This window comes from Homo sapiens, chromosome 15 (genome assembly GCF_000001405.40).
Source record: "Homo sapiens chromosome 15, GRCh38.p14 Primary Assembly".
Classification (NCBI taxonomy): Eukaryota; Metazoa; Chordata; class Mammalia; order Primates; family Hominidae; genus Homo; species Homo sapiens.
The window spans coordinates 101,461,452-101,489,343 of NC_000015.10; the positions used below are offsets into that span (position 1 = coordinate 101,461,452).

A 27,892-nucleotide genomic window follows, 5' to 3' on the forward strand; every position below is an offset into this window, starting at 1 on the left:
GTCTTAAACAAGCTCTTCCAGAGAACAGAAAAAGTAAAAATTTATCAGGCCAGAATACTTTAATCCTAAAAACAGACAAGAACAGTATAAGAAAGGGAAACTCTAGGTCCACTTTACCCAGAATATAGAAGCAAAACTCCTAACTAAAATATTAGAAAGCCAAATTCAGCAACGAGGAAGAAAGATAGTCTGCCATGACCATGGTGAGTTTATTCCAAAAATGCAAGGGTATTTTAGCATTAGAAAGTCAATAACTGTAATTTTTACAGTAGCAGAATAAAGAAGATACAGGAAAAGCATTAGATAAAATTCAAAACCCATATGATTAAAAACTCTTAGCAAATTAAAACAAGAAGGAAGCTTTCTTAACCTGTTAAAAAGGCATTTACAAAAAACAAACAGCAAATATCAATCTTAATGTGGAAACCCTGAAAGCACTCCCTTTAAAATCAAGAACAAGATAAGACTGCCCAAAATCAATGCTTTTATTCATCATTATACTGAAAGTTCTAGTCAACAACAGCCATGATAAATAAATAATTAGCTTAAAGATTGATTAGGGAGAGACAAAACTACAATTATTCACAGATGATATGACTATCTACATAGATAACCATATCAAATCTATGGTTTCCTATGGTTTACATAAAAAATAGACAAATTATTGGAAGAAATAAGGGACTTTATTGAAAGGTGGCTAGATGTGAGACCAATCTAAAAAATCAACTGCACGTCTATATACTAGCAACAACTGTTAGACACTTAAGGTACCTATGCCTTTATCAGAGATGTGTAAGTTGTGTATATAAGAATTTACAAACTTTACTAATACTTAAAGGAGACCTAAATAAAGAGATACCATGCTCATGGATAGGAAGGTCCCATATCATAAAGATACATTAGATAGATAGATGTATATATTAAATAAAATTTCAGTCAAAATCCCAACAGCTTTTGTTTTGTGGAACTTGTCAAGTTGATTCAAAGTTAATATGAAACAACAAAGGGCCAAGAATAGCCTAAAACTCCTGAAAAAGAATAAGACTTGCCCCACCACATATCAAGCCTTATTATGAAGATACAGTACTGAAGTCTGTGAGGCACTGGGTCAGAGACAGACAAGTTTAACTCGTGGAACAGAAAAGGGAGACAATCTGTATGCAAATACAGAACTTGATTTACTGATAGAATATCAGTGTTGAAAGGAGGAACTAATCCACTGATGATGCTGGGAAAAGGTGGTTATTCATATGAGAAAAAAATAAAATAAAATCCCTACTTCACATCAAACACAAAACCAATTTGAGCTAGATTAAATACTTAAGTGTGAGAAGTAAAACTAAAACTTGTAGGAGGACGTCTGAGAGTGGGTTGGATATCTTCTGTTTGTCCCTCTAAATCCACTTTCCGGTTTCCTCTACCGTGCTTTCAGCCCCAGGCACATGGCTATGGGGGCCCAAGTCTGTGGAGAAAGGTCACCAGCTTGCAAGGCAGCAGCCCCAGGAGCAGCCTGGGAAGGCTTTGTGCAGAGGAGGGCCGTTTCCTCCTCCGTGTTGGGAGAGTTGTCTCTGCAGATGGTGGGTGAGAGTTCGCTGCCAAAACCACTGTCTTCCCTGCCCTGCGGACACTTCTTCCTCACCTTCCTAAAACTGTAAGAGACCTGGAGCCGTTGAGCATCAATGACTCTTTGACTCAGGAATCTTAAAAATCACACACAGGGGCCTTCTGGTTGGCTCCTTTGCCCTCTGACTGTGGGTCGGTTTTGGAAACAGAAAATGGGAGAGACGAGAGAGGCAGGTTGGGAGGAGGGTCGAATTGGCTTGTTTTCTCCTCTGCCCCCTTCTACAGGGTAACTTCTGGCTGGCCGTGTTTCTCCCCGAATATCACTGCTCTACCAAGGAGACTTGTCAATACAACCTCTCCTTCCAGGTGCCATCAACATTCCCTCCCCTCTTCCTTTGGGGCCAAGCGTTGCAACAATTCTGCTGCTACCAGTTCCTGGTGGTTTCTCTGAACTCCGCCCATGCCTTGGGAACCGGTCTAGTGACCTTCCTCAAAGTGCTCTACTATGTGCCGTATCTTTCCTGCTGAGACCTCCACTGATAAAGTAATTGTTACTGAAAGTGGTCTTCAAATAAATCCTCACGAAGGGAATCTGGGATTCGGTTGTTCATCTATTCTGGGAGCACTGGGATAGTTGCCTTTCTGGGTGTGAGGGTGTGAGTCTGTGTGTGTGAATAAGGATAATCCACAGCATTCATGATTATACATGATACTGGCAGTCCCACTGAACAACGTGCCGGGGAGTTGGGGTGTGGGGTGCCCACTGGGAGAAGAGGGTGTGGCAATAACAGTGCCTACCAAAGCTGTGAGGTCAGGTAGATTCTTCCTATGTCCTTAGAGAGCATATAGAAGGGGAAAAAGAAATTGAAAGCTATAAACATTCAACTAGTAATACACAAGGAGAACCAGAAGGCCCCCATGGTAGCCCCAGGGTGTGATTTTTTAAGATTCCTGAGTCAAAGAGTCATTGATGCTCAACGGCTCCAGGTCTCTTACAGTTTTAGGAAGGTGAGGAAGAAGTGTCCGCAGGGCAGGGAAGACAGTGGTTTTGGCAGCGAACTCTCACCCACCATCTGCAGAGACAACTCTCCCAACACGTAGGAGGAAACAGGCCTCCTCTGCACAAAGCCTTCCCAGGCTGCTCCTGGGGCTGCTGCCTTGCAAGCTGGTGCCCTTTCTCCACAGACTCACCCACATCCTGCGCCACCTGGGCCCATAAAACAAGGCAGACCCCAAGGCACAGGAACTGCGTCAGAAGGAGATGTCCACTGTGTGGGGGCAGGAGCCTGGGAGGTGGGCTCCAAGCGGGACGAAATGCAAGTAGGTCATATGTACCCACACGTGTGGACAAGGTGGTTCCCTCACAATTTGGTCATTTAATGTGAACCTTGAACATCGAGGGGTGTGTATAGTCTACAAGATTGGCTAATCCAAGTCTAGAATTAATAAAAACCAATCGCTGATGAGGTCAGTATGCTGGACCTCCGGGACATCCTGCAGAGCTGTGGTTCTCCAGCCCCAGACGGTTTATTAAAGCCAGATTGTTGGGCCCTCTCCCGGAGTCTGTGATCGAGCAGGCTGTGGTGGGGTCCAAGGATTTTCATTTCTAACAAGGTCCCAAATGTAGCTGCTGCTGGTCTGCTGGGAATGCAGGGAAATGGGAGGCTGGAGGGATCTACTGCGTGACACCCTGTTAAGCCACCTGGCCTATACTCCCTGGGGAGGCCTGGAGCTGGTCTCCTCACCAAGGGGTTAGGAAAATGCCTGGGGGAGGGTCAGCGTCCTCCTAAAGAAGTCCATGGAGGCTGTCCGCTCTATCCCGCCGGTGACAAGGGATGCTCCCACAGCACCAGGTTCCCACTCTCCACGGGAACTGCGGGATCCTGGGTAGTAGGGGCCAGCGGCGGGCATACCAGAGTGATCACCTAAGCAAGGGGACAGAGGCTACTCAGTGTACTTGACTCGCAGGACCTGGGGAGAGGCTCCAAGATGAAAAAGAGGGCAAGCCTGATCAGATGCCGCTTGACACACAGAAGCTGGGACCTACTGGGTCTGCTGAGCAGAACCATAGTGGGGATTTGCAACATCATCCAGTGTCCAGACCAATGACGGGGAGGCTGGGACCCTTTAAGAAAGGGCCCTGCGAGGGGCAATCAGCGTGTGTGGTGAGCCTGTCCTCAGCCTGTCCTCACACGTTCCCCAGACTCGCATGGCCACTTGTTGCCAGGCGGCTGTGTGCTGGGGACAGGGACACACGCTGACCTCCCACTGGCTACTAAACACAGGCCCTAAACCCGCACTGATTCTACAGCCCTGATGTGCTACTGAGACGCACAGGTCCTGAGCTGGGTGGAAACAGCACGTCTTGTTCTGCTCATGGAAACAGGACCATCTGATGGTACGTCCAGTGCAGCTCAGCCCCTCCTGAGGTCATTCCCCAGCTCCAGAGCAGAGTGTGCGGACACACCCAGGAACGGCTGAGGCTCCACTCTGGCTCTGAGCTGGCGGGATGAGGGCTATTAGAAGAGGACAGAGGGGCCACCTGTTGCCTTCTGAGACACTGACTAGCACTAGAGGAGATCTTTCTGACTGTGGGGTAGGAAGGATTTCTTAAACAAGAACAGAGGAAGCGCTAACTGAAGGAAGACAATGGTGTCCTAAGAGATGGGGCCGTGAGGGGGACATTGGTAATGATCTAAGGCACCTGAACTACACGTGATGCCGCACGGTATTACTTCAAGGTGGACTTAAATCAGTTAAGTATGAACTGTATTGTAATCTTTAAGGAAACCACTAAAAAAATTTTAAGAGAAGTATAATCGACACATTAAGCAAGGAGACAAAATGGAATTATCTAAAAGGCTCAATGAAAACCAGAGAAGGCAGAAAGGAGTGGGGTTGGGGAGGGGCAGGGGTGCGGAGAACAAATGTAACAAACAGAAAAGTTACAAACACGGTAGATACTGATCCAACAACGCCAGCAAGGACTTTAAATGTGAATGGTCTCAACACACCAATCAAAAGACAGAGAATGTCAGAGTGGATTAAAAAAACAATGTCCGTGCTCCAAAGGACACCATCAAGAAAGTGAAAAGACAACCCAGAGAAGGATGACAATGACTGCAAGTCACGTGTCTGATAAAGGACTCGTATCTAGAATATACAACAATAAAAGCCACATAAACCCACTAAACATGAACAAAAATCTGAGCAGACGGTTCTCTAAAAAAGAGACACAAATGACCAAAAAGCACAGGAACATACGTTCAACGTCATTAGCCGTAAGGGAAATGCAAACCACTCCATCTATGAGATGGGTGCAGAAAAAAAGACGCATCATCACAAGTGCTGATGAGGATGTGGTGACACTGGAACCCTCAGACATGGCTGGTGAGACCGTGAAGGGTGGGTCCACAGCCTGGCAGTTTCTCAGAAATGTAAACATAGAGCTGCCATATGACTCAGCCACTCCACAGCTAGATAAGCTCCCTAGAAAGGTAAAAACATACGTCCACATACAACTTGCACGTGAATATCCACAGCAGCGTTATTCACAACAGCAAAAAACCTGGGAACAACCTAAATGTCCATCGGTTGATAAATGAGCAAACACAATGTGGGCAATTCATTACAGTGGAATGTTATCTGGTGATAAAAATCATGACATATTAATACATGTTATAAAATGGATGAACCTTGAAAACATGCTAAGTCAAAGAAGCCAGATACAAAAAGACCCTATTATTACTGTATGATTCCATTATATGAAATGTCCAGAATAGGCAAATCTAGAGAGACGGAGAGTAGATGAGTGGCTGCTTAGGGTTAAGGGAGTGGGGTAGATGGGGACTGACTGCTAAGACGGGGATAGCATTTCTTTCTGGGGTGATGAAAATGTTATCAGATGGGGTGCGGGGACAGTTGTACAACTCTCTGAATGTACCAAAACCCACTGAGCTGCATGCTCTAGATAGGTGCATCCTATGTGAATTATAACTTAACAGAATTGTTATTAAAAGAGAATAAATTTTTATATACAATTATGTAAAAGTTAACTCTCCAGTTTAATCAGAAGACACCCCATACAGGTAAAAAAAATTCATAAACTGGGAAACACGGTTTCCCACTCCTGTTAACTGACAAAGGATTCATATGCCGTATATGTACACCCAGTAATCCCAATTCTAGGCACACACCCCAAAGAAACTCTGGCATTTGTGTACTAGCGGTCTTGTATAAGGCTGTTCTTAGCAACAATTCTTTTTTTTTTTTTTTCAAGACAGAGTCTCGCTCTGTCGCCCAGGCTGGAGTGCAATGGCACGATCACGGCTCACTGCCACCTCTGCCTCCCAGTTCAAGCAATTCTCCTGCCTCAGCCTCCCGAGTAGCTGGGACTACGAGTGCCCACCACCACACCCAGCTAATTTTTTGTATTTTTAGTAGAGACAGGGTTTCACCATGTTGGCCAGGCTGGTCTCGATCTCCTGACCTCAGGTGATCCACCTGCCTCAGCCTCCCAAAGTGCTGGAATTACAGGCATGAGCCACCACGACTGGCCAACAACAATTCTTAAAAAAGAATTACAAACATGCCAGGAGAATGGACAGATACATTGAGATGTGCTGGCCAAAAAACACGGTAGTGTTCACAGCAGTGAAAGTAAGAGAACCACAGCTAAGCTGGGGCCATAGCCACACTGTGGCTAAACCTTAGAAACACGATGTTAAACTGGGGGGAGAAAAGCAAGTCTCAGAATACCCCACACAGTACATCATTCCCACAGTGCTCAAAACCAAAGCTAAGCAACACGTTGTCTAAGCACATCTACGCCGGAGATACGCAAGCCACGCGGACAGTGGCTTCCTGCGGGAGCCGGAGGTGTCTGGCAGGTGGTAGGGTGCAAGGAACGCGTAGGTAATACTGGTAATAGCCTAGTCACTGGACGGGTGGTGGCTTCACAGGTTCTATTGTTATACTTTGTATAACCAACAAATATATTGTGGGAAATATTTTATATGTGTCAAATAATAGATTTTAAATGTTAAACATGTTTCAAAAATAACAAAGGAGAAAAAAGTGTGGTGTCAGCTCTGGCTCTGCCATTTCTAATTGGGTTAAGTCATCTGAATGCTCTGTGCCTCAGTTTCCTCATCTGTGATGTGGAGACAGGGAAAGTACCTAGTTTGTGGGTTAGCAGTAAGTAGTAAATGAGATCAAGCCCTCAGAGCAGTTTCTTGCCCAGTAAGAGTTTGTCATCCTTGTCATTGTCACCATCATCATCATCGTCACAGCACCAGCCCTGGATGGTCCATCTTCATATTCACTGTGTGAAAACAGTGAGCCCCACTTTGTTTAAGCCACTATCATCTACTTTTTGCATCTGAATACATTCCTAGCTACTGTTTGATGATGCTCTGGAATTGGGTGACATCCAGCATATTATTCCTTAGCAGGATGCAAACTCTCCATTTCCAGCAGGAGCTTTTAGATTACTGGTTAAATAAAATCACAGAAATCTGATGCTTCCAAATTTCAGCTCTCGTGTCAGAAGGTGGGCCATGACTCCAGGACTCCACAAACACCCAGAATTGTATGGCTCCTCCAAAATCCAATAAAGAACCATCCCAGGCAAAATGTCCATGAAGGAGACAGCAGTTGGTACTAATAACTGGGAGTGGCCATCCACGTCCTTGATGCTGGGCCAGTGGTCACAGTATGGACTGCTGTTAGGTATCCACACAGGAAGGCACAGCTCTCTCTAGGATCAGCATGGAGTGTGCCCGTCAGGCAAGGAGACAGACCTCACATCTGCACTAGTGATGACAGCTCGTCTCACGGAGGTTTAAGTTTATGCTGCAATCCTCACAACAGCTGGATATAGAATTCTATTTTGGCAATGATTGTTGCAATCATATTTTACAGGTGAATGATTTGACATTCAAGGATGTCAGAGGTCCCCAGCTGTTGATCAAGGTGTCGTCGAAAGTGCTGGGATTCGTACCCAGCTCTTCTGATCTCAAAGTTCTCATTTTGTCACTAGCTCTTTTTGCAAGAACTACTAGATCAAAATAGCGCTATGAGAAACACGTGTTTTTTTAGGCATTCTGGGGAAATTTGACTATTACAGGGAGAAAAAACACTCCCACCTTTGCCCTCCCATTCTAGAAGAGCCTTACAACTCCTGCTCATTTAATTAAGATGGTCAGTTTTCTGTACAATCCATCCCAAGTGATGCCCAGAGCAAGAAAAGCTGGGGGAGAGGATAATAATCCAGCCTCTCCAGGCACTTCAGTCTCTTGGGAATGAAGACAGTGAGCATTTGTAGTTTACAGGCAAATGCACGTGTGTAGAGAGCTGCTACATGCCCTGCGTGACTGTGTGCAGGCGAGAAACCATTCCTTCATAAGCTTCTACGCTGGCTCCAAGATGCCGACATGGGTGAAGTGCCGAGAGACCCTCCGTCTGTCATCTTAACCCCAAGTTTTATTTTCTTTCATCTTTAAGAGAGAATCCTTAGTTAATTAATTTCAGGCAAGAGGGTCCTCTTTTGCGTCAGTGGTGGTGGGCACGAGCCCCGAAGAACATGCCAGGCAGGCGAAGGACTGAGCAGGGGTGTCCACACGCTGCTGAATGGAGCGGCTAGAGCCGGGTGCCTCGCTGGGAGCCGGTGAGGACGGTGTGCAGGCTGGAAATGTCCCAGCTGCTGAATCATGGCTCAGCAGTTTGTCTCCTAGTTTGGCTTAACTTCTGCCTTTTCCATCCTAAGCTTTTCAAATCGGCCAACACAAAAGGTAAAAGAAACAGTGGATCTGAAATCTTCTCCGTGACACTTTTTACTAGCTTTAAATTCCTACTTTAAAAATAGTGCTTTCCTAGTCTGACTCCAAGGCCTGACGCTGGAAGGACGTGCTGTTTCTCTCTCATCCAGTGCTAATGATAATCGCCGTGATGATATCAATATGACTGGCAACAACACGCGCTGAGTGCTCACTTCGGGACTGGCATTATTGCAAACATTCAGTTGTTGGAGGTGCTTCTAACTGCCATTTTTTTTGAAGAAAGAGCTGAACCATTCCAACTCAGGGATCAAACGTCCCTTGTTTTGTACACAGGAGGTGAGGTACTGTGCTGGCTGCCAGAACAAGGCAGGCGAATTATGCCTGTTCACATATTTTACCATAGTTAATATATTTTATTTCACCAATGTCTCTTAAAGCACATTAAACATTTAATTAGTTTTATTTCCTTTTACAACAATGACATCTTATTTATCTGTCTTTATAATGTAATTAGTGTAATATCTGTATGTGTTTTCCCCTTGAGTCAGCTTAACACTTTCTCCTTTTCATTATGAAATATTTTGTTTCCTTCCAAGTTTTCTGCTAACCAAGTCCTTACTTTATTTAATTCACTTTCCCCATACACTGTGCTGTAAGATTATTTTATTTCAGAAAAATGTCACATCTTCCTCTTGGTACTAAGATTCTCTTCTCATTTTACCATTTTTCCCTATTTTAGTTTAATGTCCTTTCATTTCTATTATGTGTTATGTGTTCCAAGTTTTACATCCCTCCGGCATTCATTTTAATAGAATTAGGAGAATCTATAAATAAAAGTAGCTCCTTAGAATAATGCTTTCATTCTTCTCTTCTCTCCCCACCCCCACTTCTCCAACGTGCCCTAAATTTACCAGCAGCTTCTCCTAGGCCGGGGTTCTCCCACAAGGAGTCTGACCGCTGTGTCTTTGCTGCATTTGCCCTGGTACATCCCCGGGGTTACACAGGATCAGGATTCCGACATAGGACGCCTGTCCGTTAGGACTCTGTAGGGAATGGCTGTGGTGCTGCCCTTCAATTCAACAACTCGAGAGGCTGAAAATTCTACACAAAGTCAGCAATTCAAATTCTGAAACTAGAGAAACACTGCGGAGCAAGACCGAGAAGATAATTAGCAGGCAAGCAACCCAGCCTACCTTGCCGTGCCAGGGGTGTCTGCGGCTTATCTCTCCTCCTTCTCTCTCCTCCGCAGGAAGGTCCTTAAACCACGGACTCTGCTCATTTACATTTACTGGGAAGCTTCTCCCTGGGGCTGAAACTCTGCCTGGGGAAAGCCTAGCAAGTTAGTGGCTCAGAGAGCCACAGTAATCCTTTCAGATGCCAGTGTAGCCCCAGAACATCCTCTACAAAAGCAAATGCCCCTGAACCCAGATTCCAGGAGATTTCTTTGATGACATCATTTGCCCTACTAAATCCCTAGAAAGGCTTCTAATCCTCATCTCTAAACATAAATTTATGATTATGTCTTCAAAGACAACATGGGGTCTCTCCCACGTCCACAAAAATACCTTTCTCCCAACATCTTGCTATGAAATTTTTCAAACATGCACCAATGTTGAATGAATTGTATGGCAGACATCCATATGCCCATTACCTTGATTCTACCATTAACATATTCACTAAAATCACTTGATCAAACTTCTCTCCATCCATCCATCCTTCTATCCATTTGTCAACACATCTTATTTTTGGTGCATTCCAAAGTAAACTGCAGTATCAGTACACAACATACATCTCCCTAAAGACTTCAACATACACATCATTATTTGCTTATAGATTTATTTCTTTTGAGATAAAATTTAGATATGATGAAACAAGCAAAAGTAAATTACACATTTGTTGAGTTTGGATAAATGTACACACTTGTATAACTCAAACCCCTACTGAGATTCAGAAGACAGCCATCACTCCAGAAAGTCTCGCATGTGCCTTCCCGGTCAACCTCCAGCTTTCATGCCCCCACATTTGGTTTTGCCAGTTCTAGAACCTCCTCTGAATGGAGTCAGGCACCCTCATGTAAGGTTTCTTTCACTTGGCCTGTCTATGAGACACATGCACGTTGTTATGCATGCTGGTTGTCTGTTCCTTTCTATTGCTGAATAAAAGAGTGCTCACTGAATGAATGTATCACATTTGTTTTTCCATTCTCCTATGGATGGACCTAAGAAACACGAAATTGTGATAAAAAAAAGCTAAATGACCCAGAAAACTCCATAATCCTCTGAGGAAAAAAAAATCGAACGGAGGCATCGCCCCAGATTGCTGAGAACCCAGCAAGGGGACACAGGCAGACCAGAGACATGCTCTGACTGACGGCACTTGTTGGCTTGAGTCTCTCCTCAAAGCCCCACGGCCAGGTGGCCTGGCCACAGCAGTCAGCAGGTCGTCTTCTGCTATGAAGGGGCCGACGCAGAAATCAAACTGGGCTCAACGTTAACACAGCTCCCTGAAGAGGCCTCAGGACAAAGTCATGGCATTGAAAACGGGTTGGGCAGCATGGCTGCTCCCTTCCGGCTCTGTCCAGTGTTTCTAACGATGGGACAATCTGCCAGGCATCAGTTTCACACCCACGGTGCATGCAGAAACATGGCCCAAGCTCGAGACTTGCAATCTAATTCATGCAACCTGACAGCACGATTCAAACAAAACTGACGCTGTGGGGAGAATGACAGTGGCAAGTGCACAAACAGGTTCCCTCAACCTTGGAGAGACAAAAGGATCTCTCAATGGTGGCGCCTGGTCACTGAGACTCCACTGAGGAGGTCAGTTTTCAGGAGAGACCAGGGAGGAGGCTGAGCAGCTCCCTGGCATGATGAGATGCCCAGGCTGGCACAGCCATCAGCACACACCAAGCACAAAGCAACTACCTCCAGGAAAGGAACCAATTGCTGGAAAGTAGAACCAACTTGGAATAAGAAAATAAATTGGGTTAAGACAGGATTTTCTATAGTTCTCTGTAGCCATTGAACTTTTGACAGAAGAAAATAGAAAATACATCCAGGGCTCTTTATGAGTAACAATCAAAAGAGAAAGTGGAAAGATCCTCTGGTTAGGTTTGAGAGCTGCCCTTCCCTGGTTGGAAAAGGAAGGCTGTTAAGACCTGGCTTGTGATAGTGTGGGTCTGTTAGTTCTGGTCCCTCAATGTGAGCCTTGTATTGACAGTCTCCCAGAGCTAATGTGTCCATACCTACCTCTGAGGTTTCATTTGGATTGGTTTTTGTTTTGTTTTCTTTTCTTTTCTAGAGACAGAGTCTCGCTCTGTCACCCAGGCTGGAGTGCAGTGGCATGATCATAGCTCACTGCATAGCCCTGACCTCCCAGGCTCAAGCAATCCTCTGGCCTCAGCCTCCTGAGTAGCTGGGACTATAGGCACATGCCACCATGACTGGCTAATTTTTTTATTTTTTGTAGAGACAGTGTCTCACTCTGTCATCCAGGCTGGAGTACAGTGGCATGATCATAGCTCACTACAGCCTCGAACTTCTGGGCTCAGAGGATCCTCCCACCTCGGCCTCCCAAAGTGTTGGGATTACAAGCATAAGCCACCATGCCTAGCCTTCATTTGGATTTTAAGATTATTTAGTGTAAGAAAGAATCAATTTGGTTTTCTAACGTTTTCTGATTTGACCAAATATCAGAACAAGGTAGAATAGCAAATTCCTTGAAAAAGCAGGCAAGCAAACAAAAATCCTAGAAAGTACTAATGAGTTCACAGAACTCCATGGGGAAGAGAAAGCATCTATTCCCACAGACAGGCTTTTGCATCTTGTGCTAAAATGAATGGTTGTAGGCCGAGGTGGGTGGATCACCTGAGGTCAGGAGTTCAAGACCAGCCTGGCCAACATGGTGAAACCCCATCTCTATTAAAAATATAAAAATTAGCTGGAGGTGGTGGCGTGCGCCTGTAATCCTAGCTAATAGAGAGGCTGAGGCAGAATTCCTTGAACCTGGGAGGCAGAGGTTGCGGTAAGCTGAGATCGCACCATTGCACTCCACCCTGAGTGACAGAGTGAGACTCATGTCTCAAATAAATAAGTAAATAAATAAATAAATAATGAATGAATGAATGAATGAATGGTTGTGAGGGTCTTAGATTATCAAAGTCATGATACATAAAGTTGTCTAAGCCTCTGAAACAAATCTAACTTCTTGTTCTTGGCTAACGGCATCATATTCCTGCAAATGAGAAACAGAACCGTGTATAAGACTGTTAATGAGCTCAGTCATAAATGGTTACTTTGATAGGACAGCAATAAGGTTTCTTTTCTTTCTATAGAAATTGGGCTTTATCAAGAGGAACACAAATTGGGATTTCTGTTTGTTTGTTTAAGTTGGAAAAAAACAGCAGAAGATCAAGATGTATGTTAGACTGAATTCAATGGCGGCCAAAAATGGACTTATTTTTCCATGTTAAAATCTGTCCTCAGACAGACACACCTAAATAAACTCCAACTGGGACAAGGAGGCACAGATCCAGGTACATGGGGTCTAACAGACATAAAACCACAGGCCTCTGCTGTGACCCTCGGAGAGGACACGTGGAAAGCTAAAACTGGCGCCACGGCGGTGATCACTGGGGTGCGCAGCCTGCCTGACCCATCTTTATAACTTAGCACCTCGTCCGGGGCCAGGCTTTGAGCCAGCATCCAATAAATGTTTGCTAAGTAAAACCAGCAGCAAATGAACCCCCCTACCCTCTAATGGCATCGAGGATTGCTGAGGCCTTCACACATCTGGAACTTCTATCTCTGCTTTTATCCTTACTGAGCTGATTTTTCTCCCTCCACCTCCCCTGACACCTCTGACCCACTCTCCACCATTCTCTGCCCTGCTCAGTGCTGCAGAAGACTAAGCCCTCCAGGCAATACTGCCCAGGCCAATGGAGGCACCAGAAGGAGGCTGCACCCTACTCAGCTCCAGCTCCCACAGGATCTGCTAACACTGTTTTGCCTCCATCCCTGCAGCAGCTCCCCACCACTGCCTACCCAGTCCCCGGGTACCTCAACACCCTCTGTTGGTTCCCTTGTCCCCATGCACACCCTGTAAGTAGCCTCTTCATGAGACTCTTTTCCAGTGGGTCATTGAAGGTGAGTTGTTTTCGGATGGGATGCAGATTAAAGCACTCACGATCCATCTGCCCAAACACACCCCCACTTCCCATTCCTCTGTGAACATTCTATGGACCCCTCCAGGTCTGGCCCTAGCGCCACTGGTCACAAAGGCTTCCCTGAATCCCCAGTTGAGAGGCTGCCCCATTCTCCTCACTTATCCTAAAACATTTGGACTCCGCCCCTATATTCCGTTCACTACTCCTCTCGCAAGAGTTACGTGCTGTCTATTTTAGGTGGGGACTTTGTCTTACTCATCTCTGAATTACACTGAGTGACGAGCCCAAAGCCTGGCAAACAAATGGTGCTGCAGATTTTACTTCAAACAACAACAGGCAAAGCCAACAAACACTCTGAACAGTGTTCAATGAAAAGCAACGTACTTAAAAACAAGGGATGAATATCTACAACACAGAGAAAGCAATCATTAAAAGACAAACAGCCCCACTGAAAAAATGGGCAAAGAATATAAATAAGCAATTCAGAGAAGGATTAAAATGCCTAATAAATAAAGAGACACTTAACTTTATTTACTCATTTATTTTGAGACAGGGTCTCGCTCTGTCGTCCAGGCTGGAGTGCGGTGATGTGGTCTTGGCTCACTGACTCCTCAACCTCCTGGGCTCAAGGAATTCTCCCACCTCATCCTCCCCAGTAGCTGGGACCACAGGCGTACACCACCACACTTGGCTAATTTTTTTTTTTTTTTTTTTGTAGAGTCAGGAACTTGCCATCTTGCCCAGGCTGGTCTCGAACTCCTGGGCTGAAATGATCCTCCAGCCTCAGCCTCCCAAAGTGCTGGGACTACAAGTGTGAGCCACTGTGCTGGCCAAGCAACATTTAACTTGAATAACAATGAGGGAAAAGAAGCATATTAAAACAACCACCAGATCTCATTTGTCACCTATAAGAACTGGCAAATATGACAATTGGTCATCACTACACAAAATCGGTGGGGCCCACACACACTTCTGGGGGCAGTGTCAACTGGCACTATCTGTTGGGAGAGCCATGGCCAACATCTAACACAATGTAACTTGCACACATACATTGACTCAGCAGGTCCCCTCTCTGGAGTCAGACTATTCGGGTTCAAATCTTGGCTCTGGCACCTACAAGTTGTGTAACTGGGAAAAAGTTACTTAACCTCTCTGTGCTTTTGTTTCCACATCTGTAAAATGAGGGTAATAATAACACCTACCCCATAGAGTTTCTAAGATTAAATGAGTCAATACAAGGAAAGCACATGAAAAGTTACTTGGTACACAGTAAGGGCCAGCAATCACCATTTATTATTATAACTAGTATTTGTTTTGTTCTTATGGATCCTACAGAAATTCTCACAAGTGCAGAGTCATGAATAAGGATAACCACTGCAACACTGCTTATAACAGAAAAAAACTGGAGGCAAATCAAAGGAACATTCACAGGTGTGGTATAACAAAACATGTTGCATCTCTAAAATGCCATAAAACTATTTAAAAAGAATGAGGTAGGTCTCTATGTACGAGCATGGGAAGATTCCCAAGACGTCCCACTGTTAGTGAAGAAAACCTAGGTAGGTCCAAAAAAAAAAACATGTTTAGTGTGATTCCATTTATATTAAAAAAAAAAAAAACAACAAAAATTCTTTTTGTGTGTATATGCGCACGTATCTGTCTGTTAAGGCACAGAAACAGGACACATATACTAATGTGTGAACAGTGGTGACATCTCAGGGAAGGAGTAAATCAGGGATCGGATGAGGGGAGGAAGGAGATTTTGGATTTTGCTTTGTACACCTGCACTGTGTGAATTCTTTACAATGGGGGAGCATTTATATAATACTCTAAATTTATAAATTTATATGCAATGTATAATTTTTTAAATAAAAATGCTCGATAAAATCCTAATGAGTTGAACTGAACAGATGTTACCAAGTGTGGACCCTCTGCAAGGCTGGTGATGCCGGACGGGAGATGCAGGTAGGTGGGATGAGACGCCATAACCAGGGACCCAGGGCATGTGGGGCGGGGAAGCAGCGCAGTGGCAGAGCCTCTTCCACCTCCCTGCACGGTCCTGACCTTCCACAGCAGCTGCAGCACTATCCACCTCCCCACGCAGTGATAAAGAACTCACTGACCTAAACGTCAGGAAAGAATGACACAAATGATGGGCCAGCTACGCCAAGGTACACTGAGCAGCCATTACAAGTTACGCCATAGAAGACTTATTGACGTGGGAGGTACAAGTTGCAAAAGTAGACAATCCTATTTGTATAAGACATTGGTGAATATATGTGTGTGCGTGTGTGTGTGTGTCTGTGTGTCTGTGTGTGTGTGCATGCATACCTACACAGGTTGAATATCCCTAACCTGAAAATCTAAAATACTCCAAAATCCAACAGGACACTCAAAGCATTTCCAATTTCAGATTTTCAGGTTAGAGATGCTCAACAAGTGAACATAACACAAATATTTCAAAATCTAAAATAATTGGAACTCCAAAACATTTCTTTTCCCAAGCATCTCAGATACAGGATATTCAACCTGCATATGAGTGTGCACGCACACACTCAGACACAGAATCACAAAACAAAAAGTCATGGCCCAAAGTGTCAACAGTGATTATTTTGGGGTGGTGGGACTATGGGTGATTTTTATGGTTTTCTTGTTCTTTTCTGTATTGCAAAAATATTCTGTATCCACATATCCTTTCTGTATTATACTGAGAGGAATCAAGTAGTGTAAACAGTCTTATAACCAGGCCATGCTACCCTCTATGCAACTGTGGGTCCCCCTCCAGCCTCTTCTCTCCTCTTGGGATCTGGTTCTACTGTGTTCCACTTGCCTCCCAGCAGGCAGGAAACACAGGGTTCTGGTAGGCAGAAAGGAGGGTATCCAAGAAAGGTTCCCTGACCTTCAGACTCTTAGACTCTACATCAAGAATGTTGCCTTCATTCCTGCATAGATAAGCCTTTGAACTGAGCTCCAGGCCAGAGCCCTGATAAGGAGGGGAGGATCCCATAGTACAGGAGGACTTCTTCACAGGTCCCTTCTGCCCCAACCCTCCATCTGCCTGGACTGCACCCCTCTGCCCTAGCCACTTAGAAAGCCCCAAGCCAAGCTCCGTGGCGGCTCACATGCCACCTGCTCCTTGTAGCCTTTCCTAATAGACACAGACTCTGTCTATGAGGAAGGCCTGGAATGCAAGTTGCCCAGGTTGAAAGCCTTGCTCTGACCCTTACTACTATAGCAGGTTACTCAGCCTCTGTGGGTCTCAGTTTGCTCATCTGTGTAATGGGATTAATAGTACGGTTCTGGGGGCAATCATCAGCAGTGCCTGGCAGACAGCCAAGACTGACATAGGAGTGGCTGGCGGCAGTCATGGTGGGGTACTGGAATCCGAGGACCCAGTTGCTATTCTAAGGACAGTCACGTGTGGGGACAGAGAGGCTGAGTACAGGCACGAGCCAGACTGCTTCTTTACAGAAAATAAACCTTCCACAGGACAGGCTCCACCAAGGCCGCAGGACACACCCATGCCTCCTGTCCTCAGTCCTCCTTCCCACTTTCCCTCCCTCCCTCTTCTGTGGCTTCCCCGGTCCTCTTTTTCTGGCTTCCTTTCCTCTTGTTCTTCTGCCCACCAAGGAGCAAGATGCTCGTTCTGAGCTTCAGAGAACACCAGGCTAGGATGCTAGGTGTGTCCAGACTTGCCGGTTCTGCCTCGGAGTAGCCACGTGGCACAGATGACTGAACATCTGCCTTGGCCTTGAGAGCAGAGTCCCTGCAGGTGACACTGGAATCACTCAGCAAGACTCAGTCCCAGGAAACACAGAACCCAAAAGCAAGGTACCAAGAGATGTCAAAGGGTGGAAAGCATAAGCGATATTTGACTATACAGAAACATCACAAATATTTGCTGCTCACAAACCTGCTAGAGCTCAGCAGAAGTGAAGATAACAAGGTCAGCATTTTCTCCATACTCACGCTTAAGGATGATTTGCCTTTGGTGAATGGAATCAGGACATCACAGGTCCTGATATAAAAAATTCTAACAATTTCTCATTCACTAAACCTTCTCAGTGCCAGGAACTGCACTAGGGCCTCAGGAAGCAAAATGAGTCACGTAAAGACGCAGACTATGAGACGCTGTGGTCCAGAGGGTCTAGCGGGGAGAGAGACACCCCGCACGCCATGGCCGAGCCCCTCCGTGGAGCTCGGAGAGGACAGGGCTGCAGGCAGGTCAGGAAGCAGCACTTTGGCTAATGCCAAAGAAGGGCAGGGCCCGGGTAGACCACACAAGGAAGGGGCCCCCAGGTTAAAACGACAGCAACAGATAGGTGCAGAAGAAAGAAAAAGCATATGGAAAGTGTCCTGAATGTCAAAGGCCCGGACTTCATGAAGATGCGTGTGGTAAAAGTGAAGGGTTCTGGGTGAGCACAGAGCAGTGGGGCTCTGAAGAATCCTACGGATGGCCGTGTGGGAAATGGCCTGGAAGGGAGGCAGGGAAGCCAGTGAGGCAGTCACCAGGACACTCACCACCAGTGAGAGTATGAGTGAGCAGGCCCGGCCTCGGCTGTGGCCATGGGCTGGGTGGCAGGGGAGAAAGACCCAGAGGCTGGTCGGACAGGGCTGTGGTCGGTGCATGCAGAGGCTGGTGGGAGGAATCCAGAGAGACATCTGGTTTCCCATCTGGAGGACGGGGTACAAGATAGGTGAGCAGAACGGTGTGGGGCACAGGAGCACCTCCATGCAGCCTTCTACTAGACAGGGAACAGCAGGCCTGACCTCTGGTGGGAGGGCCCTTATCCAACACGAGGCAGCCCCTCCCTTCCCCTCCACCACCTTCCCAGATCTCCACCCAGGGAAGAGTCCGGCAATGATCAGGGAGGTGAACTTGGGCCTTTTGAAGGCAAGAAGGAAGCTCTTGTAAGTGACCACTGCTGGGGTCCTCCCAGGGGGACAGTCCAGGAAGGGGGACAGGACCTTCTTAGACTGTCCGCCTGTGGCAAGCCCAGCAGTGGTCATCTCAAGGTGATCTGCTTAAATGATCACAGGAGATATGTCTGAGAGTTGTCATCAGGGTGTTTGAAACCAAAGCGGGAAAGTCTGGAAGTCCAGGTTCCTTGCAGGAACGTGAGTGATGCCATTACCCACTGATGGATTCCCCCCAGGGCGGTCTGGCTGATCACTCAGAGCTTCGGTAGTCTGCTCCATTTGGGCTGTTTCTGCCCACTCTCACTGAGAAGATGGATTTTCCCAACAAGGACTCTAGAAGTGATGGATGCTGGCCGGTGGCAGAAATACAAGAGCCCCCGAGGAAGATTAGAGAACTAACAGTGACAGCCTCTTCCCAGCCCAATTCAGTAAATGGGTCCATGTGCGGCTGGGCAGAGCCACAGGTCGGGCGTGGCTGCGGGGCCCTGTGGAGCGCAGCTTGTTTATGCCCAAGCAGCCAAGGCAAGACAATGAGACTTTCTTCCTTTCCACGGTGCCCCTGTCTTGACACTGAGGGCATTGATGGGCTGGTTGCCATGGGAACCCTAGGCTGCTGATCCCATCCCATGGAGCGTGAGGCTCCTGACAGCTGATGGCTATTCATCCCCCTTCCTTGCAGGACTAGACAGGGGGCCTTGCGCCTGCTGCTGGGTCCTCCAGATGCTCAAAGGGCAGAGGCACAAGGACATCAGGAAAAACCACAGCTTGATGGGATGATGGGACCCGCAGGGTGTGAAGCATCCACAGTGAGCTCCAGGGCACCAGTGGGGCCTCCAGGGCACTAGTGGGGCCTTCAGGGGACACAGGGCTCTCAGATCAGTGTGGAGCTGACCTGGCCAAGAGGCAAACTACAGCATCACAAAGAGGGTGTCCTCATGTACAAGTACGTACGTGGCAGGGCCTATCGAGTGACTCCAAAAAGCAAACGATTGGGATGAGAAAGCGATGGTGGGGGTGGTTCAATAAATGACACTTAAACAAAGCGCAGGTGCCTGGCCTTGGTCCCTCACAAAGACTCATAACCAAGAGTCTCTTAAGACTCTTGCAAGGCAGGGGCCACATTTTCTTATCTCTAAGTGCCCAGGCCAGTGAGAGCACACAGCAATACTCGCTGAATAAATGAACGCACGTCTGCCGGCCACCACAGAGGTGGCAGAATCGGAACTAACCTTAGAGAGCAGCCAGAGGCCTAACTTTGGGCTGACTCACCCAGGAAGCCCAGAGCCCAGTGTCAGAAACAGGCAAGCCAGCAGGCAACGTCCAGGTGGCAGGGGGCCTGGGGGCCCAGACGAAGGGTACATCCGGCGGGCTGGGGAAATCGGGGTGAGTCGGCTGATGGAACTGACAGTGCAGCAGAACTTGGAAGGCTGAGGGGCGAATCTGGTGACGGGTGGGAAGGCTGAGGGGCGAACCTGGTGACGGGTGGGAAGGCTGAGGGGCGAACCTGGTGACGGGTGGGAAGGCTGAGGGGCGAACCTGGTGACAGGTAAAGCCGTTCTGGGCAGGAAGAACAACAGAAGCAAAGCCTGAAAGGAAGCAAAAGCATGAAGATGGGGGATGGGCAGAGCTGCAGCTACAGCCAGGGCTCGAGGCGGTGGGGTGGGGCAGGAGGAGGCCCTGAGGCAGGTAGAGGCCACAGAGGCCACAGCCTGTGCTGGGCGGTGGCAGGGGCAATGCAGGGAGCCTGAGAGCCATTCAGGAGACAGTGAGACAGGCTTGGGGGAGCACGGGAGCAGGAGGAGGCGATGGTGACCTCTAGGCCTCCAGCTCTGCCACTAAGGTAGACAGGGGTCTCTTCTTGTAGACAGGGACCCACACGAGGAGGAGGTTTCAGCAAAAGATGATTAGTCCAGCTGATAAATGTGCAGCTTGAGTGACTGAAATGTGAGTGACTCAAATGTGTAGTTTGAGTGGCTTCCTAGAAGGACTGGAGGGCTTTTCTTTTTCCCTCCAATAGAGAGAGGTGTGAGTGGTTCCAATGCTGATGAGCAGGAGCCAGTACAGATTCCCCGAGACAGAGCCATGCTGGTGTGCAGCCCTTTGAGTCTGTGCGCGTTCACGCACACGCATGTGCACGCACCCGGTGGACAGAGGGAGAAACGGCGGCTGGTGGGGTCTCCGGAGGTTGCTATGCCTCTTGTCTGTTCATTCTGGCAGAAGCCGAAAGGCTTTTCTGTCTGATGATTTACCTTTGTCTGGGAAGCAGGTACGAGGTGACAGCAGTAGAAGGTGAGTCAGAGGGTGTGGGGTCCGGCCCTGGCCTGTCAGTCACTGGTTTGTCAGAAGGTACCTGGGTCTAAGGCCTCATCACCATTAACCAGGCCTGGTGACACCTCCCTGCAGGGCTGGTGAGGGCCTTCGGAGCAATAGTCAGGAGAAACATCAGCTGGTGGGAGCAAGACCAGGGCTTCTGGTCGGTGGCAAGGCCAAGACCCAGTCCCAGGAGCCAGGAGGAGGCCAGCCACCCAGGGCAAGTACAACCCGGAAGCCCTCCCAGGGCAGGGTGAAAGGAGGAGGAGAGGTGTCGGCAGCCTGGCTGAGCTGCAGAAGATCAGAGGAACTACTTTCTAGATGCCACAATCTGTGTAGAGGCTCAGAGATCCAAAAAAGCTCAGGACGTTCCCAGCCGGCATGCAGTTGGCGGACACTGGAGAACAGGGTCTGGACAGCCCTGAGTGTCCCTGTCACCACCCAAAGCTCAAAGCCGGCAGGAGTATCAGGCGGTGTCCCAGCCTCCCCCAGCCCATCGACAGCTCCGTGTTTCTCATTTGCTTCCCTGGTTTCCGCCCAGAGAAACTCAAGCCTTTCTAATGGTCCAGTCAGCTGAGCCACCTGCTCAGTCCTGATTCTGAGTCTGCTCCTGATTCTGAGTCTGCCCCTGCACCTGCTCAGTCCTGATTCTGAGTCTGCCCTGGATGCTGCCTTCTGGAGCTTTTCTGGCTCCAGAGATGGCAGCTGGCTCGGCTTTGATCACCACTCCCCGCACCAGCTCCAATGACTCAGGAGGGCAGTCCGGTCAATTAAACTCCTGCCCACTTAAAGGCATCACCATCCGGGTGAAGACGTCAGATAGGAGGGTTAAGACAATGAGCTTCACAACCCTCATCTTGCCTCTGTCCCTCAGTTCACACCCAGAACCTCTCGCAGGCCAGCCGCGCACAGCCAGTCCAGCTTGGCTCAGAGCATAAAACCAAGACAGCCTTAGACCGAAAACCAATCCCAGAGAACTAGGTCACAGGTGACTGCTCTTCCGGGTCTCCCCTTGTCCCTACCAAACCCCTGACGCTGTGGCTGGAACAAGTTCTGGCCCATCATTTTAACACCTGGTTAAGGCTTCGGCTTGTTTTTCATTGCAAGAACAAGTTGTCTGCAGCATGACAATTTTCCTCTGCTGACAAATGAATCGTGCAGGCTCACCTGAAATTCTGGGCCAGGTATGTCCTGCTCAGTAGCTATTTTAAGTAAAACTATTTAAGGCAAGTTCAAGATCATTTAAGGCTCTTAGATCTTTTAGGGCCCTGGCAGCCAGCCTGCCTTTTTATGTTCAGACTCAGAAGCAACAAATTAGCTCAATACCCCAGGCAAAGCAAAAACCCAAGGGAAAGCATGGCATCCAAGAACCACCCTTAAGATAAACATCATTTCCAAGAGCAGCAGACGCTGAGCTGTTGTGATTTGGTATGTGGAGAATACCTTGCTGCCATCCTCTCCACACAAGCAACTTGTCTTTTCTGAGTCACAATGTCAAAGGTGACAATGCACACAGGTTAGAGCGAGGGTGACTGGAAGGAGAAAGAAGCAGGGGAGAAGGGAAGGGTTCCTGGGCTCCGTGTCCAGCTCTGTCCAAACGCCCATGCGACCTGCAGCCAGACATTCTGTTTCTCTGTCACCATTTCCTTGACAAGTGGATCGGCCCAGTCTGGACATCTAAAGTAGGGACTTCTTAACATGGGCCTGCAGGCACCTGCCTCCAGCGGTGGGCTTCAGATGGTCCAGAAGCACCATGCGGTAGGTGTACCATGTGCATCTCCCTTTTCTTTTTTCTCTCTTCAATGTTTTATGTGTATCTGTGTATATGTCTATGTATATAGGTATATGCGTCAATATACGTGTGTTTATATATTATACGTGTGTATATATACACACTTGTACACATCACCACATGTAATATACCCTGATACAAAGAAAAAAAGTACAAAATGTCTAGGCACAATTTTGTATATAATCCACGTATGTTTATACATACACACACCCACACACATAAGCGTGTGTTGTAAAGCAGTACACTGCAGATAAAGTTTGAAGTTCCTCTCCCCTCCCTCCCTTCTTGGAGGTCATTGCTAACTAGAATTTGATGCAGATCCTTACAGCCCACACTTTTATACTTTTACTACATCTATAAGCATCCATAATTAATACAGTATTGCTTTGTGCTTTGTTTTTGCTTGTTTTTGTTTTTGTTTTGAGACAGAGTTTCACTCTACTCGTCGGCCAGACTGGAGTGCAGTCCTGTTCATCTCAGCTCACTGCAACCTCCACCTCCCAGGTTCAAGCCATTCTCCTGCCTCAGCCTCCTGAGTAGCTGGCATTACAGGCGTGCACCACCACGCCCAGCTAATTTTCATATTTTTTTAGTAGAGACAGGGTTTCACCATGTTGGCCAGGCTGGTCTCGAACTCCTGACCTCAGATGATCCACCCGCCTCTGCCTCCCAAAGTGCTGGGATTACAGGCGTGAGCCACCACGCCCGGCCTGCTTTGTGTGTTTCTTAACGTTTACATGAATATGATCACATTGGACACCTACAATTTGCCTTTTTTCTCTCTCAACACTATTTGAGAGATGTATCTGTGTAGATATAGATCTGGTTTATTCATTTCTAACCACTGTAGAGTCTTGCATGGTGTGACTATTTTGATTTAGTTCTCTATTCTACTTCAGGGAAGGTGGGTTTTCCTTCATTTAAAAAAACGCCTGCATGGACATTCTTATACAAGTCTCTTTGTGCACACGTGGGAGAGTTCTTCCAGGATATGTCTGGCTGTGGACTAGCAAGTCCAGCCTCACCGTGTATCGCCAAATTGCTCTCCAAACGATACCAATCTCCACCAGCAGCATCTGAAAGTTCCCATTGCTCTATATCCTTGCCAGCACGTGATGCTAACACTCTTCCGTGTCGGGAAATCCAATAGGTGTGAAATGGTATCTCATCGTTGCCTAAATTGCAGTGCTCCAATAACCCCCAGCGAACTTGAGTGAAGCTGGGCATCATTTCTTATGTTTACTGGTCATTTGGATTTCTCTTCATTGACTTCTCCATTCATAAACTTCCCCATTTTTCTACCTGGCGTGTATCTTTTTTTCTTAGTGATTTATAGTTTTCAAAATAATCTGTGTACTAATGTATTTGTTATATATTGTAAATACTTTCCTGGTCTATTCTTGCTTTTTAACTCTGTTAGGATGCCTTTGTTTACATAGAATTTTTATCTTAATGTATCAGTCTCTTCATTTTGAAATTTATTTTCATAACTTGTGTAGGGACTCCTTTCCCGGTGTGACAAAGGTATTCCACTGCAGCTCTTTCTAAAGTTTTATATACAGTCTTTAATCCCATCTGGAATGTACTGTTGTGTAATGTGAGGATCTAATTGTTTTTCCATGGGGAGAGCCTGTTCTCCCAGCACCATTTAGTAAATAGCCCATCCTTCCCCATCTATTTGTAACTCTTCAGCTCACACATACAAGTTCCCACACATGCTTGGGTTTGAGTTGACTCTACTGCTGGACTGTCGTTACCACAACTCCCCTCCTCCTCTTCTTTCCCAGAGTTGTCTGAGGTATTCCTGGACCTTACTCTTCCATATGAATTTTATAATTCATTTGTGTGATTTCATATTCCACATTAAATCTTGTCACAGCTTAAACTAGATTACATTGAATTTGCAGATTAAATTGGGGCAACTATGAGAGCCAGCCCTCCCATGCATGAACACAACGCATCTCTCCATTTATTTAAATTTTTTTTTTTTTTTTTTTTTTTGAGACGGAGTTTCACTCTTGTCGCCCAGGCTGGAGTGCAATGGTGCGGTCTCGGTTCACTGCAACCTCCGCCTCCCAGGTTCAAGCTATTTTCCTGCCTCAACCTCCCAAGTAGCTGGGATTACCGGCATGTGTCACCAAGCCCAGCTAATTTTTGTATTTTTAGTAGAGACAGGGTTTCTCCATGTTGGTCTGGCTGGTCTCGAACTCCTGACCTCAGGTGATCCGCCTGCCTCAGCCTCCCAAAGTGCTGGGATGAGCCACCATGCCCAGCCTAAACTTTCTTTTCTCAGTCCTTCTTCTAAATATTTTATGTTTCTCTATAAAAGTCTCACCTTTTTAAAAGACCTATTTCAACGTATCTAACAGCTTTTATGCAAGAATGAAGAATGGTTTCTTTCGTCTTCTCAGATGTGCTGCCATGCAGGTGGCTGTTGCTGATCAACTCCCTTATTAGCTCCAGGGGTTAATCTCCAGGCTCTTTTGGATTATCCATGTAGTTATGTCATCTGCCGATAATGACATTGGACACTTCCACATTTTTATTCCCTTTGAAATCCTGTGGTGTTACCTGGACTGATGAGTAGAGGGACAAAGAGAGGCTGTCTTGTCTTGTCCCTGGTGATGCATATTTTACAATGGAGAGGATCCACAGCCTTTATCAGGTGCTGAAAGGGAGCCATGACACAAGAAAGGTGAATAACCACCAGTCTAAATTACCTCTGGGCCATGTGAAATAAACTGAATCCAGTTATTAGTTGTATGGAAGAAAGTAAAACAAGCAAGAACCTTGAGCACAGCGACTATCTGGGAGAAAACCAGGGCTGCGATTCAGGCAAGTACAGAACATAACACTAATTGCCCATTAAGGGCTTGGAGAAAGAGTTTCACAAAGGAGACCTCAGAACAGAGAATACGGCAGAAGCAAATGAGCAGGGATGGAACTGTCAGAGGTGACATATGCGTACCATGTGAACACAAACAGCTTCCTTCCCTTACTTCACCCCCATTTACTCATCTGTAAGTCAAAGCTAATAATATCTACATCTTATTTATGAGTCACAAATTCTCCTGGCTGAAAAAAAGGCAAATAAGGTTTTCAAAGAGTTCTTATTGAGTGGGTAGAGGCTCAAATGCTCCAGGCCTTTTCCACATTAGCAGTGCACTTAGAGGGGGGAAAGAAAAGCTCGTTTTGGAATAAAGAGTAATAGGCCCTCCGTGAGTAATCACACACAAGCCTCTGAGACAGCTCCTATCCCCAACCAGCTAATCTCTGTTAGTGAATGTCACCGCAGTGCCACTGCCAGCACCATGCCTGAGTGACCGGGCTGCGTGGCATTCATGCTGGCTGCACTAGACAGAGCTGGGGAGACCCCGATTAACTCCCCAGAATATCCTGGGTACGGAGTGTGCATCGGGGCGAATCTTCTCTCCCATCCGCAAAACCAGGAGAGCAGACTGCACTAAGAACTCAGTGAGCCTGACAGAGGTTGTCTCAAAGGGGCGGCATGGCCAAGGGTTAGGCATTTTTATTCCCACAGATAGAAATTTCCGGGGAGAGTTACCTGTGCCTCTCTGCCTCTCTCTTGCAGTGTGAGCTCACAGCTCAATTTCAGCTCCATTCTGCTCATTTAATTTTAGAATCCCAAAACCCAGGCACTTTGTAATTTATCGCGTAGTTTAAGAGTCACTTTTAGCTGAAGACAAATTGCTGGGCCACCTGGGCACAGCAGCGAAGTGTGGCAGGAGCCAGGGGCACTACGCAAACATGAGGAACACCTTCTTCAGCCTGGACAATCAGCCAGGGAGAGTCAAGAACTACAGAGACAAACGAAGTCAGTGCTACCCGACGGCAAAATCTGAAATCACAGGATGTTTGGAGGGCCTTGAGTGGTTAAAAAAACTAAATATCTATATGGATATACATGTGCGTATATGTATGTGTGTATATGTGTATATATGTAACATTTTATATATATATATGCATATATTTAAAAGGTCTCCAAAGATGTGCTAGCATTCTTTCAGTAAACTCGAACCTGCCTTGTGAAGATTCCTTCATTCGAATGGTGGAATCCACCCCTCCAGCCACACACCTAATAGTACATCAACGTGGGGCTTGGGATGCAGAACTAATGTCATTTCTATCAATCAGGGACGCCACCACACCTTGCTGGCTTCTGCCACGGATAACGATGAAACTACATTTAACACTGCCTGGCACTAAGGTTTAGAGTTATGAGTCGGTGCTTCCCTGTCACTTCACTTAACCCTCTGAGTGTGTAGTTTGTAGATTTGTTAACTGCACTGAGAGGTCCCCTGGTGTGACCTCAAAATAACGGCCTCTCCAGGAGCCATAAACATGGATCAACCCCAACTCACCGCCCCTCAGCCCGGTAGCTGGTTGAGAGAGGAAAAAGGGACCCGCCGGGAGGTCCTTTGAGGGTAATGCCGCCTTTGTGCCCAGGGCGTGGCCTGCTTGCTCACTGACAGAAGAGGGGACAGCCGAGGGCTGCGGGGCTGGGAGGGCCCCGTGGGGGCCGGTGAGGGTCAGGCCCCGGTCCAGGCTCTGTGGCAACGCAGCATTAGATCTTTCCGACAACCCAGCGGTGTAGACATTGCCACTGACTGCAAAGGAGCTTGTCAGGGGAGCGACTTGCCAAAGGTCACACCGCTCGGCCATCAGAACCGCGGCAGAAGCCCCCACACAAAGCGCCCTCCCTCCGCTCCTGGAGAGGTTTTAAACCCAGGACCCCCGGCCCTGCGCTGTCCCAAGGCCTCTCCGACGGCGGCCGGGCTCCAGGGTGCAGGCTCCCGGCCATCTACCCCCGGGAGCCGCGGACACCGAGGGAGCGCGAGTCCCCGAGACGCCGGGCCACGCTCATGTCACCCAAGCAGCGGCCGCGGCCGCCTTGGCGCGCGCACCGGGTCCGGAGCTCGCGCCGCCCGTCGAGGGCAGAGGGGCCGCTCCCCCGCGGGGGAGAGCCGGGTGGGCGCCCAGGACCCAGCGGCGGACGGCGCGCGACGCCTGAGGCAGCCCAGACTCCCCCGGAGCCCGGCAGGTGTCCGCGCCGCCCCGGCTTCTGAGGCCACACTTCCGAGCGCGGGGTTGGGCGGCACTGCCGGGGGACTTGCGGTCGGCGCGCCGGACCTGCGTGGGCGCCCACGCGGGACCCCAGTCCCCCCCACCCCGCCGAGTGTCCCGCGCGCGCCCCCCCGGGCGACACCCCCCCCCGCAGGGCGCCCCGGCCGCCCGCCGTCCCCAAGCGGTCCCGGAGCCTTCCCACGCGCGCGCGGGGCCGGGGCCGGGCGGACAGGACTGCGGAGGCGCCCCCCTCGCGCGCGCCGGAGGCCGCCGGGAAAG

The 27,892-nt window shown here is 47.8% G+C and overlaps 2 protein-coding genes across 9 annotated transcripts in view, besides 1 other annotated feature; both read right to left on the reverse strand.

The window, feature by feature from the left end:
- The window catches only part of PCSK6 (proprotein convertase subtilisin/kexin type 6), a 185,775-nt gene that overhangs the window by 157,519 nt on the left and 364 nt on the right, over positions 1 to 27,892 (reverse strand). The window lies entirely within an intron of this gene.
- LOC124903566 (uncharacterized) lies at positions 471 to 27,702 on the reverse strand. 2 transcript variants are annotated; one of them, XM_047433426.1, is made up of 2 exons: positions 19,963 to 27,702; positions 471 to 19,930 (listed from the first exon to the last, which is right to left on the reverse strand). In XM_047433426.1, exon 2 carries the CDS (start codon positions 18,514 to 18,516, stop codon positions 17,611 to 17,613), a length of 906 nt encoding a protein of 301 aa, XP_047289382.1. In that variant the 5' UTR covers positions 18,517 to 19,930; positions 19,963 to 27,702; the 3' UTR covers positions 471 to 17,610. The 2 variants fall into 2 exon arrangements, with proteins under 2 accessions (XP_047289382.1, XP_047289383.1); XM_047433427.1 differs by having other exon boundaries at positions 471 to 19,866; positions 19,899 to 27,702.
- Positions 7,831 to 9,030: an enhancer, noted in NCBI's record as "MED14-independent group 3 enhancer chr15:102009487-102010686 (GRCh37/hg19 assembly coordinates)". NCBI's record gives its function as "activates an origin of replication core promoter dependent on BRD2, BRD4, P300/CBP and CDK7 cofactors, and independent of MED14, by STARR-seq in HCT116 cells {active_cell/tissue: HCT116}" and the evidence as "EXISTENCE:reporter gene assay evidence [ECO:0000049][PMID:35650434]".